The 15,164-nt window shown below is 55.4% G+C and overlaps 1 protein-coding gene and 1 long non-coding RNA gene across 6 annotated transcripts in view, besides 9 other annotated features; one reads left to right on the plus strand and one right to left on the minus strand.

Moving 5' to 3' along the window:
• Positions 1,050–2,249: an enhancer, noted in NCBI's record as "CDK7 strongly-dependent group 2 enhancer chr17:4392946-4394145 (GRCh37/hg19 assembly coordinates)". NCBI's record gives its function as "activates an origin of replication core promoter dependent on BRD2, BRD4, P300/CBP, MED14 and CDK7 cofactors, with strong dependence on CDK7, by STARR-seq in HCT116 cells {active_cell/tissue: HCT116}" and the evidence as "EXISTENCE:reporter gene assay evidence [ECO:0000049][PMID:35650434]".
• SPNS2-AS1 (SPNS2 antisense RNA 1) lies at positions 1,272–10,134 on the minus strand. Of its 4 annotated transcripts, none has more exons than XR_001752763.2 (3): positions 9,550–10,134; positions 8,941–9,114; positions 1,272–1,390 (listed from the first exon to the last, which is right to left on the minus strand). It is a non-coding gene; the product is annotated as an SPNS2 antisense RNA 1 (long non-coding RNA). The 4 variants fall into 4 exon arrangements; XR_001752762.1 differs by lacking the exon at positions 1,272–1,390 and adding an exon at positions 3,929–4,760 and having other exon boundaries at positions 7,946–9,114; positions 9,550–10,115; XR_007065584.1 differs by lacking the exon at positions 1,272–1,390 and adding an exon at positions 7,731–8,703 and having other exon boundaries at positions 9,550–10,115.
• Positions 1,560–2,060: an enhancer, noted in NCBI's record as "H3K4me1 hESC enhancer chr17:4393456-4393956 (GRCh37/hg19 assembly coordinates)". NCBI's record gives its function as "activates a minimal SCP1, AML or CMV promoter by ChIP-STARR-seq in primed H9 embryonic stem cells {active_cell/tissue: H9 hESC(primed)}" and the evidence as "EXISTENCE:reporter gene assay evidence [ECO:0000049][PMID:30033119]".
• Positions 10,073–10,132: a silencer, noted in NCBI's record as "silent region_8039". NCBI's record gives its function as "represses an Ori minimal core promoter by ATAC-STARR-seq in GM12878 lymphoblastoid cells {active_cell/tissue: GM12878}" and the evidence as "EXISTENCE:reporter gene assay evidence [ECO:0000049][PMID:35858748]".
• Positions 10,143–10,292: a silencer, noted in NCBI's record as "silent region_8040". NCBI's record gives its function as "represses an Ori minimal core promoter by ATAC-STARR-seq in GM12878 lymphoblastoid cells {active_cell/tissue: GM12878}" and the evidence as "EXISTENCE:reporter gene assay evidence [ECO:0000049][PMID:35858748]".
• Positions 10,280–15,164, plus strand: part of SPNS2 (SPNS lysolipid transporter 2, sphingosine-1-phosphate) — a 40,155-nt gene continuing 35,270 nt past the window's right edge. For both annotated transcript variants that reach the window (XR_007065260.1, NM_001124758.3), the window contains exon 1: positions 10,280–10,816. Coding sequence is in view for 1 of the 2 variants with exons in the window: in NM_001124758.3 (NP_001118230.1) it covers positions 10,447–10,816 (370 nt within the window). In the remaining variant the exon portion in view is untranslated. The remainder of the gene's footprint in view (positions 10,817–15,164) is intronic.
• Positions 10,353–10,402: a silencer, noted in NCBI's record as "silent region_8041". NCBI's record gives its function as "represses an Ori minimal core promoter by ATAC-STARR-seq in GM12878 lymphoblastoid cells {active_cell/tissue: GM12878}" and the evidence as "EXISTENCE:reporter gene assay evidence [ECO:0000049][PMID:35858748]".
• Positions 10,444–11,079: an enhancer, noted in NCBI's record as "H3K4me1 hESC enhancer chr17:4402340-4402975 (GRCh37/hg19 assembly coordinates)". NCBI's record gives its function as "activates a minimal SCP1, AML or CMV promoter by ChIP-STARR-seq in naive H9 embryonic stem cells {active_cell/tissue: H9 hESC(naive)}" and the evidence as "EXISTENCE:reporter gene assay evidence [ECO:0000049][PMID:30033119]".
• Positions 11,080–11,714: an enhancer, noted in NCBI's record as "H3K4me1 hESC enhancer chr17:4402976-4403610 (GRCh37/hg19 assembly coordinates)". NCBI's record gives its function as "activates a minimal SCP1, AML or CMV promoter by ChIP-STARR-seq in naive H9 embryonic stem cells {active_cell/tissue: H9 hESC(naive)}" and the evidence as "EXISTENCE:reporter gene assay evidence [ECO:0000049][PMID:30033119]".
• Positions 13,986–14,502: an enhancer, noted in NCBI's record as "H3K4me1 hESC enhancer chr17:4405882-4406398 (GRCh37/hg19 assembly coordinates)". NCBI's record gives its function as "activates a minimal SCP1, AML or CMV promoter by ChIP-STARR-seq in primed H9 embryonic stem cells {active_cell/tissue: H9 hESC(primed)}" and the evidence as "EXISTENCE:reporter gene assay evidence [ECO:0000049][PMID:30033119]".
• Positions 14,503–15,018: an enhancer, noted in NCBI's record as "H3K4me1 hESC enhancer chr17:4406399-4406914 (GRCh37/hg19 assembly coordinates)". NCBI's record gives its function as "activates a minimal SCP1, AML or CMV promoter by ChIP-STARR-seq in primed H9 embryonic stem cells {active_cell/tissue: H9 hESC(primed)}" and the evidence as "EXISTENCE:reporter gene assay evidence [ECO:0000049][PMID:30033119]".

The raw sequence follows: 15,164 nt of genomic DNA on the forward strand, positions 1-15,164 counted from the left end.
GTATTTTTAGTAGAGACAGGGTTTCACCATGTTGGCCAGGCTGGTCTTGACCTCCTGACCTTAGGTGATCCGCCAGCCTCGGCCTTCCGAAGTGCTGAGATTATAGGCATGAGCCACCGTGCCCAGCCAACTCCACCCTTTGAACAAAACGTGGGGGCTGAATCTTGCTCTTGGAGATGAGTTTCCACTTGGGTGCTGGGGTGGGGATGTGGCTCCAAGTTCCAGGGAACCACGCAGAGGAACCCACGCCTATACAGACACGGGCGCAGCGGCCCCAGAACCCTGCTGAGGACTTGAGTGGCCGTGCAGGGATCCTCCTGGCCTGCCCAGTTCTGTAGCCCCGGTCTTCCCTGGGTCCACGCTCTGACCCCAGCACAGCGTATGGGGAGGGCTGGCTCTGCGGGGCCCACGCTTGCCACTGGGTTCAGAGCAGCTGGGCTCAGCGGGCCCTGTGGGAGATCGACAGCTTCCAGGCGGGCAGCAGTGGGGAGGCTTGTTCTCATGTTCTTTCCGCCTCCCCTGGTGCCCAGCCAGGCGATCACTTGCTCACTCACCGATGGCCACCTTCGCTGTGCCAGGCTGTGCCTGTCTCCCAGCAGCTGCAGGCAGAGCAACGACCGAGACTCCTGCGCAGCCCCTGATGCTTGCTGCTCTGTCCCTGCCTTCTGTGGGGTGCCCCCCAGCCCTCCCTGTTGGCTGCAACAAGCCCCAGGAGCAGGGCCGCACCACAGCCAGCCCTCCCTGCAGGCTAGCCAGGCCCTTGACCGTGACTCAATGCTTGGAGCTTATGCAACAGGCAGCCCTTCAAGTTACAAGGTAAAAGATCTGTGAGGATATTTTGTTTTTCCTGAGAAGGAGGCAGCAACTGGGCAGGAGCCAGGATGCCACGGTCCCTCTCAACATTCACTGGCTGTGTGACCTAGGTGGCTCCCTGACTCCCTGGCTGTGTTTGAGAGGTGTGTTGACATGGCTTTCTAGCCTGGGCCTCATGTGATTAGCACAGGCTGGGTCTAGACCCACAGAAGCCCAGCTCCAGGGTCTGAACCTTCCTCCCAACAGCCCCAGGGAGGACCCCTGCAAGGCGAGGCTCCCGGAAAATGAGTGAGGGCCGCCCAAGGGTCAGAACACTCAGCTGGGCACAGCGGCTCACGCCTGTAATCCCAACACTTTGGGAGGCAGAGGCTGATGTATTGCTTGAGGTCAGGAGTTCAAGACCAGCCTGGGCAACATGGTGAAACCCCGTCTCTACCAAAAATACCAAAACATACCTGGGCGTGGTGGCACGCATCTGTGGTCCCAGCTCTGGGAGGCTGAGGTGGGAGGATCGCTTGATCCTGGGGATGGGGGGTGGAGTTCGTCGTGAAGGGAGATGGCACCACTGCACTCCAACCTGAGTGACACAGTGAGACTTTGTCTTAAAAAAAAAAAAAAAAAAGAACACCAGCTGCCACCTCCCCACCCAGAGTCCAGTAGAGGAAGAGCAAGAACCTCGTTCATGCCAACTCTACAAACATGCATTGGTATCGGCGGGTGCCCATCAGGGTGTCCAGCAGTGAATCAGACTCCAGCCCTGCCCTTGGACCTCGCAGCCCACAGCAGGACAGGCAAGTGTGGCACACCTATGGGCAGAGTAAGGGCTTCCGTGCCCCAGAAGCCTTCAAGGAAGTGGCTTTGGAGTTGGTAACAAGGTGGGGGGCAAAGGGAATTCTAGATGCAGGGGATGGACCCACAAAGAGGGGGAGAGTGGGGCAGAAGATTTGCAGTGAGTCATGGAGGGGTGTGGTATGGCCAGAGAGGAGGGTGCGTGTGTCATTGAGCGGGGAGAGGAGGTGAGAGAGGCCATCTGGGATCAGAGGGGCGTCAGATGTAGGTCCAGGAGCTGGGGCTTTAATCCTATAATCCAGGGTAGTTTCTTATGACTCAAGTGCATTCTGATATTTGGGTTGCTGGGCAGGGCAAGGCGGTACTTCCCAAGGCTGAGCCACACGAGGTGCCCAGCTGGGAGTTTATAGGAAGCTATTGTCTAAAGTGGTTTGGGGCAGAGTGGGAGCTCTGGGGCTGGTGGACGCGGCAAGTGACAGAGACCAATATCTCCTCTGCAGCCAACCCAGACTCCCACCTCCTGCCTCTTTGGGGCCAGTCCTGGTGGGTCGAGGTTACGATAACAGCCTGGGGGAACCCAGCCACTCAGGCTGGAGTGGAGTCTGGTAAACAGAACACATCTTCCTCGCCTAAAGGCCCTTGTTGGGTAATCTCAGCCACGAATACTCTGGACTTGTTTGTTGGGAATGTCAAGAGGAGGAAAAATGCTGTTCAGCAGGATGAGTCCTTAAGCCTGACCTGACTCTCTTTATGTGTTAATTGCTCTTTCCAGACATAAGCTGCATTCCAGCTGTCAGGTATTATCCAGGCATGGAGGTATCTCTGTGTGCGTGTGCCTGTACCTGTGTGTGCATCACCATGTTGGCGTGTGGCCACATGGGGGTATGCTAGCTATTGGAACCAATACCAACAGGTATTAGTAAAGCTTTTTTTTTTTTTTTGAGACGGAGTTTTGCTCTTGTTGCCCAGGTTGGAGTGCAATGGTGCAATCTCAGCTCACTGCAACCTCCGCCTCCCGGGTTCAAGCGATTCTCCTTCCTCGGCCTCCCAAGCAGTTGGGATTACAGGCATCCACCACGCCCGGCTAATTTTGTATTTTTAGTAAAGACGGGGTTTCTCCATGTTGGTCAGGCTGGTCTCAAGCTCCCGACCTCAGGGGATCTGCCTGCCTCGGCCTCCCAAAGTGCTGGGATTAAGGCTTGAGCCACCGCACCCAGCCTTAATTTTTCATATTTTTAGTAGAGACAGGGTTTTGCCATGTTGGCCAGGATGGTCTCGAACTCTTGAGCTCAGGCAATCCACCCGCCTCAGCCTCCCAAAGTACTACAATTACAGGTGTGAGCCAATGCGCCTGGCCTAAAAGCTCTTTTTCCACTTTGTCCTGAAGGTTGAGGGGGTTGAACCTGTGTGTCTGGATTCCCACACCCTAACCCTGGCTTGTTGCTCTGCAACATCAAATATTGGTCTGTTTCATTCCCTGAAGTGTTTGACTTTGCTTTGTGCCTGGGTGGGCTTGGGAGGTTGTTTAATCTAATGCAGCCTCTACAGACAAAGCTGGCAGCAGGCAGCTGGAGGTTCCGGGAGCCATGCTTTATCTCAGCACAGACAGGTGTGTGACTGCGTGTGCTCCTGTGTGACCATATCAGTTTGGGTTGTGGGGTTGTATGCAACGGAAACAGACTGACTACCTCTACCAGGCAAAGGATGCATTGAAAGCACATCAGGAACTCATAGAATTGATGAGAAGGTTGGAGATTCAGGAGCCAGGGTTCCTGGGCCATATTATTTTGGGGTCTGTGCCAGAACTCCAGATATTTTATCCCTATTCTTTTGCCACCCTCCTCAAGATTTAAAGCCCTGGGCAAGAGATTCCAGTTGGGTTAGCTTGGATCCTATACCCATGCCTTGGTTTATAGCCGCATTAAGACCAGCAGACCAGTGTGCCGTTAGGAAGAGGAAGGAAGTCTCAGCACCAAAACAAAACAGGAATTAAAACAAGATGACAGGCTGGGCGCGGTGGTTCATGCCTGTAATCCCAGCACTTTGGGATGCCAAGGTAGGTGGATCACCTGAGGTCAGGAGTTCAAGACCAGCCTGGCCAACATGGAGAAACCCCGTCTCTATTAAAAATACAAAAATTAGCTGGGCTTGGTGGTGCGCACCTGTAATCCCAGCTACTCAGGAGGGTGAAGCAGGAGAATCGCTTGAACTCAGGAGGCGGAGGTTGCAGTGAGCTGAAATCGTGCTCCAGCCCGGGCAACAAGAGTGAAACTCCTTCTTGGAAAAAAAAAAAAAAAGAAGAAGAAAGAAAACAAGATGACAGAAAACAAAAACAAAGGTAGCATCCACTACAATATCTCGGGCAGGCCACTGGCCATCTCTGAGGTGCAGCCTCTCCATGGGATGGGGAAGAGGCTGGACTCGATGCCCTTCGGTGGAGTCTTTATTTCTGATAGTCTGCATCCATGATGAAAAGAGACTGAAGCTTCTGTAATGTAGAAAGTGTTAAAAATGTTCAAATGGCAGAACAGGAACTTCTGTGTTAGTGGGGACTCAGAGCCATCTGTTCTGAGCAGGAGAGAGAGGCAGAGACGAAGCGTTCTGAGCAAAGATAGGCTCGGGCTGGGGGAGGGAACGGGGGCCCCAACCAGTCCTCAGCTTGGCAACAGCAAGAGCAGAGAGGAGGTGCCTTCTCCCCACCGTGGGTGGTGACCTGCGGGGAAGGCTAATCAAAGGGTGGAGGCAAACAGCAGGTGGAAGCTAATGGAGGGTGGAGTCAATCAGGAAGAAAATGCCTTTTCCAGAGGAACCAGGAGACGAATCTGGTTTCTGAGTCATTCAGAGCAACAGACGCGTGATGCAAATCAATGTACATTTCCTGAGCACCTGCTAAATGTCATTTACTCATTCAATCAACAAACATTCTTTGAGCACCTCCTCTGTACTGGCTCGTGGAGATGAATCAGAAAGGGTACGGGCCCTCGAGGCTCACGGTCTGTTGGTGAAGGGCGGGGGACAGATTCTTGCACAGACAAAAATCAGCACAGTGTTGGTGTGATGGAAGGATACACAGGTTACTCAATAGCCCAGAGGAGGAAATGGTTGTTCAGGTGGGCCGGGGAAGGCTTCCCGGAGGAAGCTGTTTCTGTGCTGGGTTCCTGAAGGACAAGTGGGAAGAGTGAATAGGCCACACAGGCAGAGCATGCCTCAGTCAGGGTCGGGGTCAGGGGTTGCACGCGGGATGCTCTCCATGGTCCTGAATCATCGCTGTGCTAGTGGGACAAGGGCTTTTTTGTTGATAGGAGGACAGGGGCTATAGAATAGTGCCCCAATTCTTGCCCCTCCCCCAGGCTCCAGGAAGTATTATAACTGTGAGTTCAAGAAGCTCCATGTTCAGTGTGGCAGAGGGTAATTTTGAGAGATGGGCCGTAGGATCTGAGGCTGGAGATTGTCATGGGTTGTGAAAAGTTGTGAAGGCTCTTGGAGATCATTAAGGAATGTAGTTTTTTTTTTTGAAACAGAGTCTCGCTCTGTCACCCAGACTGGAGTGCAGTGGCGCGATCTCGGCTCACTGCAAGCTCCGCCTCCTGGGTTCACGCCATTCTCCTGCCTCAGCCTCCCGAGTAGATGGGACAACAGGCGCCCACCACCACGCCCAGCTAATTTTTTGTATTTTTTAGTAGAGACAGGGTTTCACCATGTTAGCCAGGATTGTCTCGATCTCCTGACCTCGTGATCCGCCCGCCTCGGCTTCCCGAAGTGCTGGGATTACAGGCGTGAGTCACTGCGCCCGGCCAGGAACGTAGACATTTTTAACCCTATAGCCAGTGAAGAGCCTTAGAAAGGTTTTGCTCAAGGTAGTGATGAGGTCCTTTGTGGGATTCAGAAAGTGACTGATAAGCAATATGGAGAAACGACTGGAGGGCCGGCCGAGCACAGTGGCTCACGCCTGTAATCCCAGCACTTTGGGATGCCAAGGTGGGTGGATCACTTGAGGCCAGGAGTTCGAGACCAGCCTGGCCAACATGATGAAACCCCGTCTCTACTAAAAATAAAAAAAATTAGCCGGGCATGGTGGTGCACACCTGTAATCCCAGCTACTCAGGAGGCTGAGGCAGGAGAATTGCTTGAACCCAGGAGGCAGAGGTTGCAGTGAGCCGAGATTGTGCCATTGCACTCCAGCCTGGGTGACAGAGCAGGACTCCGTCTCAAAAAACAAACAAACAAAACTGGAGGGGGATGTGGGAACAGGTAATGTTGAGCTTTACAAGGGTCCAGGTAAGACACAGAGAGGCCTGAGCTAAGCCAGTGGGCAATGTGGACGTGGGGAGATGTTCAAGAGAGGAAATTGAAAGCCCTTAGATGTGGCTGTTGAGGAGAAGGAGCCCCACATGGCTCCCAGGCTTTCTGCTTGGCGACAGTGTGGATGATGGTGTTTTTGACAAAAGATAAATGATACCAGAGTGGGAGCAGGTTGGGGGAAGGATGACAAGTTCAGTTTCAAATGTGCTGAGCCTAAGGTACATGTGGGATATCTGGTGGGGGGCACGTGTAGGAGGCTGCATATGGATCTCGTGTTTGGAGATGAGGCCCTGTCTAGAGATGGAGGTTGGGGTGTCATAGTCACATGGATGATCATTGAAAGTTGAGGCCACAGCTGCACATGGTGCTCACCCCTCTAACCCCAGCATTTTGGTAGGCTGAGGTGGGAGGATCACTTGAGCCCTAGAGTTTGAGACCAGCCTGGTCAACATAGTGAGACCTTTTTCCTAAAAAAAAAATTGCTGGGTGTGGTGGTGCACGCTTATAGTCCCAGCCTTTTGGGAAGCTGAGGTGTGGATCCTCAGGAGAGGAAGACTCTTCTTTTTTATATATATATTTTTATTTTTTATTATTATTTTTTTCTTCCTGAGATGGAGTCTTGCTCTGTCACCCAGGCTGGAATATGAAAGTCTCCGTTTCTCTGTCTTTGCTCCTGTCTGTCTTGGCTCTCTTTTTTTTGTTTTTTGTTTTTTTGTTTTTTGTTGTTGTTGTTGTTTTGAGACAGAGTCTCACTCTGTCACCCACGCTGGAGTGCAGTGGTGTGATCTCGGCTCACTACAACCTCCGCCTCCTGGGTTCAAGCAATTCTCCTCCCAAGTAGCTGGGATGACAGGCGCATGCCACCACACCCAGCTAATTTTTGTGTTTTCACTAGAGATGGGGTTTCTCCATGTTGGCTAGGCTGATCTTGAATTCCTGACCTCAAGTGATCTGCTCGCCTTGGCCTCCCAAAGTGCTGGGATTACAGGCATGAGCCACCGCGCCCAGCATCAGGAAGCCCCTTCTTAAGGAGGATCCCTTGAGCCCAAGAGGTCAAAGTTATGATGAGCTATGATTGCACCACTGCGTTCCAGCCTGGGTGACAGAGAGAGACCCTGCCTCTTAAAAATTTTTTCAAAAAAAGTAAATTTCAGGCCTAGGTGAGAGGCTGCCAAGGGGGAAGGGAAACAACCGAGGCCTGAGCCCTGGAGACACTCCCATGTGGGAGGATGGGCAGAGGGCAGATGGGCTGAGCTCCCAATTACCAGCCAAGGAGGAGCAAGTGCATTCTAGGCCAGTGTTTCTCAGAGTGTGTCCTGCAGAGCTCTCGTCTTGCAAGACATTCTGTGGTCACACACACCTGGGAACGTGGCATCCTATATCTCCCTCTGGGAGACTCAGAGCATGTATTCTCATAGTAAAGGCTCTCAAAAGTCCCTAAGGAAACCTACTTTTCTGTGTTTATCCCACTACTTCCCAAGTATGACTGCTCTTTGAATAATGGCCATTAATGTTCTGTGCCCCATTTTTTTCTTTTTTGTGTGTGTTCTTTTCTTTTTTTCCCCCCACTTTTGTTTTTTGTTTTTGTTTTTGTTTTTGAGATGGAGTCTCACTCTGTCACCGAGGCTGGAGTGCAGTGGCATGATCTTGGCTCACTGCAACCTCTGCCTCCCAAGTTCAAGCAATTCTCCTGCCTCAGCCTCCTAAGTAGCTGGGATTACAGGCGCGCCCCACCACGCCTGGCTAATTTTTGTATTTTTAGTAGAGACCGGGTTTCACCATGTTGGCCAGGCTGGTCTCGAACTCCTGACCTCAGGTGATCCACCCACCTCGGCCTCCCAAAGTGCTGGCATTACAGGTATGAGCCACCACGCCGGCCCCCATTTGTTTTGAAGCTGTGATCTAGACCTAATGAATGAATATCAGAAGGTCCTTTAGCCACGGAGTTCAGCCTCCTGTTATACTGATGAAGAAACAGAATCCCGCCCAGTCTGAGGGCAGCGTGCAGTGGAGGAAGTGCTGGATTAGAGGGTAAACACACCTGGGTTTAGTCCATGCACTGTCATTTACCAGGTGTTCGACCTTGGGCAAATTACTTCTTTTCCCTGGGCCTCAGTTTCTTCATTGGCGAGATGGAGGAAAGAACCCTACCAGTCCTCTGTCTGACAGCCCCAGGTTACTGCCAGAGCTTCTCAGAAGGCTGTAGGGATTTGTCCTGGGCTGCACAACCAGAAAGGGCTTCTTGTCCTCCCTGTCCCTCTGCCCTTGGTGGCCCCTTATCCCACACAAGGACTTATTCTAGAGGCTGCCTTTGAGTTGAAACCCCAGTGAAACACAGTGGGAAGGGCTGGCTTGCTTGGTGGCAGCTCAGAGGTCCCCCAGGTTTGAAAGGCTCATGCCACCCTCTTCCCCTGCTCTGGGACCTTCCCAGTGGTGAAAAGGGAAGGCAGCAGAAAGAGAATGCTCCCCTTTCTGTCAAGGCCGAAAGTGTCCACCTGGACAGGACTGTGGCCAAAGGGATGAGGAGTTTTGGGGCACGGGAAGGGGACCCTGGGCTTGGGTCTAGAGTTGTGGTTGTGCCTCCTTCACCACTAGACACAGTTCCACAGCTGGGCAGCCTCCCACAGCTGGACTCTGTCCACCTGCTGGCACCATCACACACTTACGAGATCATTGCTGGGGCCGGGTTCTAGCCCCACGGAGCTCCTAGCTCTCTGTCCTTGTTTGTTAATCACCCGTCATGCCAGGCCACCATGGGGAACTCCCCCCATCCGCCTTTGCAGGCCTGAGCTCAGCGAGCTGGAAAGAGGCAGCAGGCAACTTTGAGAATGAAATCTGTTTTCCTAACCCTCCCGTCACAGTCATTCATACCCAGCACGCTGAAGCATATTTTTAGTCACTTTGCAGAATTTAAAATACACCTCGAAGGCGCCAAGAAACACCAGCTTGGGGATTAACTCTGCTCACAAGAGACAGTGGAGGGGGGCGGGGGGGGTGCCTCGTGCTGTGTCACCCGTTGGCTATGCCATGACTCACTGTGGCCGAAAGCTTCACCAGATGCACCTGCCTGTGGACGTGGGGTCCGGAAAAGCCTCTAGCGGGGAGTGAGCTCCAGCCCTCGGGGATGATGCCAGAGCCTGGGGCAGCTCCAGCCCTGCCACAGCTTCACTGCCTGTTCGTAATGGGTCACGTCCGTGCCCTGGGACTTGTCTGTGAAACACAGGGAATGATTAACTGGTTTCCGAGGGTTTGTCCAGTTCTAACATTCTGTCCTCTGCACTTTATACAGGATTTTAATTTCGATTTTAATTCCCCAAACAGGTGAATGGGGGAGGGAAGGGGGAGATCGTCACAGAGCCACAGCACCTCTAAGGAGGGGTGAAACCGTGATGGGATGTCAGGAACACAGAAGCACCCCAACCACTCTCCATAGGAGGCAGACCCCCGCCCCGTCCCACCAAGGGGAGGTGACCACCCGTGGATTTCCAGACTGAATCCCATCCTGCCATCTGCCCCCAGATACAGAAATGGAGGCCCAGAGAGTGGGTGTCATGTTCAGGATCATGCCACACACCAGGGCAGAGCTGAGCTAGGACCCAGCCTCCTGTCTGCCACTGGGGGCTTTGTACCCTCTCTAGCACATACCTGGAAGTCTGAAGCTTGGAGATGTGGTCCCTCAGGAGGGAAAGCCCCTTCTGAATATCCTGTTTCTGTTGGGCCCCAATCACAGCCCTTGCTCTCCCCGCCAGGGGCTGCGGGCCACTCTGTGGGGCAAGGGTAGGGTCCGGGTGCCCACACAGGAATGGGCCCGGGGTAGGTTGGGGGCTGGATCTGGGTTGCCCTGGGGAGGTGGGAGACACAGCCCACCATGACTGGTGGAGGTCTAGGTTCTGGGCCCTCCCTGAACTGGTTAAATCCGGGCGTGTGAGTATCGGAGGAGCCACCGGCTCTCCAACTGGCGCCCCTGACTTTAGCCATCTGAGACTCCTCTCTCCAGTTCTCCCAGATACGCTAGGCTCAAGCCCTCAGCCCGGCTCCCAGAGCCTCCGCCGGGAGTCCACGCCCGAGGCAGGGGTTGGGTGAAGGGTACTGAGTAGGTGCTGGGAGCCCCGTCACCAGCACCCTGCTCCCAGCTCCGTAGCCAGAGCAAACCCTCTCCCGCTCCCCGCGGGCGTTCGCGGCCGGTCGGCCCCGGCGTGACTGCGCCCCCATTGGCAGGAGGGGCTCTGCCGCCCGGGCCCCCAGTCCCCGGGCCCCCCACCCCCAGGGCAGCACGTGCGGGGCGGGGCTGTGGCCCGAGCCCGGAGCTGATTGGGCGCGGGCCTGGTGGGCGGGGCCGGGCCGCAGCTGTCAGAGCCGCGGCGGCGAACGAGGCGCAGCGAGCTGAGCGGTGGCAGCGCCGCAGCCGGGGCCGGAGCGCAGGAGCCGACGGGGCCCGACCAGGATGGTGCAGTGGCGGCTCCGCGGCGCACGCACGCGCTGAGCGGGCCCAGCCTGGGCCCCGCGCCCCCCGCGCCCCCCGCCGCCCCGATCCGGGCCGGCATGATGTGCCTGGAATGCGCCTCGGCGGCGGCGGGCGGCGCGGAGGAGGAGGAGGCGGACGCGGAGCGGCGGCGCCGGCGCCGGGGGGCGCAGCGAGGGGCTGGCGGTAGCGGTTGCTGCGGGGCGCGGGGCGCGGGCGGCGCTGGAGTCTCGGCCGCGGGCGATGAGGTGCAGACGCTGTCGGGCAGCGTAAGGCGGGCCCCGACCGGACCCCCCGGCACCCCCGGCACCCCCGGCTGCGCAGCTACTGCAAAGGGCCCCGGCGCTCAGCAGCCCAAACCGGCCAGCTTGGGCCGCGGGCGGGGGGCAGCCGCCGCCATCCTCAGCTTGGGCAACGTGCTCAACTACCTGGACAGGTACACCGTGGCAGGTGAGCGAGTGCCCCACCCAGCCCGAGGACCAAGACCCCACCCCATCCCACCACCCGCCTCGAGGGAGGTACCCCAGAGAGCTTTTGGTCTCAGGCCTGCTATCTCCAGGCCCTACGTGAGGTCCCTACGGACCCTCTGCTCAGGCACAACTGGGCAAGGGATGCCTCCGTGCACCACGGGTACAATCCAGCTCCCCGCTCATACACACCCGGGGCCAAGGGATAGAGGAGTCCCCACCCCTGGAGCAGCCCGCGCGTCCTCTCCAGCCCTTGACGGCCCATCCGTTGTCCTCCTCTCCAAGAGTCTCCTCTGCGTCTCTCTGTCTCCTTGTCTCTGCGCCCCCTCCGACCCCAGCTGCCGGTTCCCGGGCCTCCTTCCCTTCCCTTCCCCCAGCCCAGGTCGTCTGTCCGTCCATGGCCCGTCAGTTCCTTCCTTTCTCCGCCGCCTCCACCCCCCTGCGTGCGTGCGGCGAGTGCGCGCGCCCCTTGCGGGTGTGCGCTAGGGAGACCGGGTGTGTGTGCGCGTGGCGGCGCGGTTGTGTGTGAGCGCGTGGCTGACAAAGGCTCCGGGCTGCGGGGAGCGGAGGGAGGGGCGGGGCGGGTCCGCGGCGCCTGGGGACCCAGGCTGCGGTTTGCAGCTGGCCCTGTACAGAGGCCTGGAGACGCCTCCCCCTGCTCTATGGTGCTTGGGGTGTAGGGTAGGGCGCAGGCCTCTGGAGCTAGAGACGTGGAGCCTCATCCTCAGGGAGCATCTCTGGGAATCAGCCTTGGGGACGGGATTGGGATCGATAGAACAACTGGGTTCTAGCCCCAGCTTTGCTCCTAATGTGCTTGGTGTGTGACCTTGGGCCAGTCTCAGCGTGTGTTTAGGTCTGTTTGCCCGTTTGTGAGTTGATTGATCATTGGGCCTTTGGGGGACGCACGTGGTTCTGGAATTGCCTTCTGCTGGCTCCCTTCCCCAGCAATTAGGGGTGGGTCTAGGGGTAAGAATTTGCCCTAGACTGAGCTGCTACTGGTTGGGAATGGTGGAGCTTTGAGAGGGAAGGACTTTGGCCAGACTGGCATAGGAAGGGGCTCCCTGCAGGAGGAGAGCAGTACTGTGTGCCTGGCATGCTGGCCCAGAACCTGCGTAACTATAGCTTAGTAAAATCTGGAGCTATCAAACACACACACAACAGAGAGAGAGAGGAGATAGGAGAGAGGGAAGGATTTATTTTTGGACAGACTCTAAAGAGAACTTTGCGGCAATTGAGGGAAGAGAGCCCGGGCATAAACCACATGCCACCTGGTGCCTTCTCTGGGCCTCAGTCTCCCCGTCTGTTGAATGGAGTTTTGTGTCAAATGGAAGGGAAGAATTCTGATGGGAGGGCAGAGGCTTCCCCCTCCCCCCATTCCTGCTTTCAACCCCCCTTGGCTCTCTGTCCTTCCGCTGGAGGAAATTGGAAGTGGGTACCAGTGGCATCAGTTTCTGGGTCGAGCTATCCCAAAGAGAAACTTACTTTGGTCTAGAGAGCAGGAATATTGAGCACCTCCCAAAAACGCCAGCCGCTGTCACGCATGCACCATGCTGCCGGGGACCTGGGAGCATAAGCGCCATCCTTTGGGGGAGAAATCAGAGAATACCTGGGACCTGTAGTCAGTTCACAAAAGGCTTCTGTACACAGATAGGGGGACCAATGTCCCTGTACAGCCCCCGTTCAAGATGGCCAGGAAAGTGACTGGCAAAGCTGGTGTTAGCTCTAACAGTAAGGCTCTGCCTGGGAGGAGGTCTTCCCACCCTTTCTCAGCTGAAGAAGGAATGGTACTACTTCTGGCACTGTAGCGCTCTCCAACTTGTTTTTTTTCTGGCCCCAGACCACCCCCTTTGACGTTCTTAGGGGAACTGCCTCTGCCAGGGGCAGAGCCAGAGAGGGTGGGATCAGGGAGGGCTGGCACTTATCTGCTCCCACTTCTACTCAGGTCTCTGAGTCAGATTGTCAGCATGGGGGAATGAGATAGGAAATTTGTGGTGAATTGGTAAAGGGAGGTGGGGAGTGGTGGCTAAGAGGGGCGTGGGGCAGTTAGGGAGGAAGGCCCGGAAAGTCCTGTGCAAACACTTGCCTGGGCTGTGCCTCCCTCCCTCTCCTGGCCTGGAGTGGGAGCTCACACACCACCCCACCCCCAACACACAACAGACACAGGTTTCCTCTCCGGATAAGCCTGGTTGCCCCTCTCTCTATGGTAGATTTCCCCATCTCCACTTCCCCAAGTTCAGTTTTTAGGAATATTTATTATCTCTATGGTAACTACTATGGCTTGATGTGCTAGGGCCAGGGGAGTGCTCATCCCAGGCCTGAGTGCACCTGTTGCTGGCTGGCCCAGCTGGGACAGAGATGGGGATGCAGAGACTCAATTGCTCAGTCTTTGATGCTTGCACCTACCTGGCCCCAGCTCCCCACCAAAGATGGAAGGGAGGTCCCACTCTCCTTCTTTAACTCTGTCCTTTAAATCTGTTTTTTCATAGTGTAGACCAGCTTTGTCCAAAAGAAATATAATGTAAGCCACATATTCCTGTCAAATTTTCTGGTAGCCGGACTAAAATAGTACAAGAAATAGGTGTGATTAATTCATAATATATTTTATTTAACTCAATATATCCAACATATTTCAACATGTAATCAATATAAAAGTTGTTAGGGCTGGGCGCGGTGGCTCACGCCTGTAAACCCAGCACTTTGGGAGGTCGAGGCGGGTGGATCACCTGAGGTCGGAAGTTCGAGACCAGCCTGGTCAACATGGTGAAACCCCCCATCTCTACTAAAGTAAATACAAAAATTAGCTAGCATGGTGGTGCACACCTGTAGTCCCAGCTACTCGGGAGGCTGAGGCAGGATAATCGCTTGAACCCAGGAGGTGGAGGTTGCATTGAGCCAAGATCGCGCCACTGTACTCCAGCCTGGGTGACAGAGTGAGGCTCTGTCTCAAAAAAAAAAAAAAAATTATACACACACACACATATGTATGTTGTTAATGGGATATTTTGCCTCCCTTTTCATACTAAGTCTTTGAAACCCAGTATGTGTATTTTCCATTCACAGCACATGTCAATATCACGGTGGCCAGGGGCCACTAGAGTGGACAGTGCAGGTCTAGAGTCTTTGTTGCCAGAGTTCGAGCCAAGGCTCTTCAGCTTCCCAGCCGTGTGACCTTGAAGACATCACCTGAGCCTTCTGTGTGATCATTCCCCTCCCGCCTGCCTCCCGGGTTGCGTGGGATAAATGAGACTGTATCTCGAGCACCTGGGACGGGGCCAGATTCCTAGGAGGGCTTCACGAGTGCCAGCTGCCTTCTCCTTCATGCCTCTGCTCAAGCTGGCCACGATGCCTTTCCTGGGATTTTTGTTGTTGTTGTTCTGTTTTTTGTTCTGTTTATGACAGTCCTTTCAGGACACCTTTGCAAGCCCCTCCCTTCTCCACAGGGCTGGTCTCCATCCTGGGAACTCTAGTAGCTTCTGCCCCAGCGCCACCCGGTGAACCTGCTAATTACGGCCTCTCCTCCGCCCCATGAGAACCCCCTGAGGGCAGCAGGCCTCAGAGCGGGTGAGGAGGGCCAGGCTCCTGTGCTTGCTCTTCTTACCGAGCGTTGCTTCAATTGGATGAAATTGAGGTAGCCCAGAAACCTCTTCTAAATCCTTCCTTGCACCTCCTTGCGCAGATGGGAACACAGCCATCCAGAGAACAAAGACACTTACCCAAGGTCACACGGGGGGCGGAGCAGGGCCACACCAGCCAGAGCGGCATCCTCTCCAGTCCCAGGAGCCCCAGGTGGAGGTAGGGGCATGACCCTTGCTTCTGGCCTGGGAACGCAGAGGCTCTGCTGGCTTAGGCAAGAGCCCTTTGGGTAGATGAATTTCAGTTTAATTGAGCCAAGGCAGTTTGAGCTCCCCTAGGGCACATGGCTCCTGCTCCTATGGTCCCTAGCAGCCACCCACTCTGCATTCTGAGCCCACTCCTAGCTGCAAGGTCAGGAGAAGGAGGGAGTCCCTCAGACGGGGGTCTCACGCCCCCTCTAACTAGCTCTGCTTCCTGGTGCCAGAGCCACCTCTGCCACCCAGGCTGCCATTCTTACCTCTGTGAAATGGAAGCAGAGCTGAGGGTGTAGGTGGCAGCATTTTGCTCCTGGAACCAGGCCCCACAAGAGGGAGGTGGCCCTGGCCTTGTTTATGGGTGGTGAATGACTATTTGGGAACTGAGATCCTTCCCCAACTTCTGTGGGGTACCTGTTCTCTTCTCAAGACCTATTTTCTTTCCCTTTGATCCAGCCTGGGGCAGCCTGGGCACTTGGAGTTGGGTGGAGTGGGGGCTGTTGA

Source organism: Homo sapiens, chromosome 17, assembly GCF_000001405.40.
Source record: "Homo sapiens chromosome 17, GRCh38.p14 Primary Assembly".
Taxonomy (NCBI): domain Eukaryota; kingdom Metazoa; phylum Chordata; class Mammalia; order Primates; family Hominidae; genus Homo; species Homo sapiens.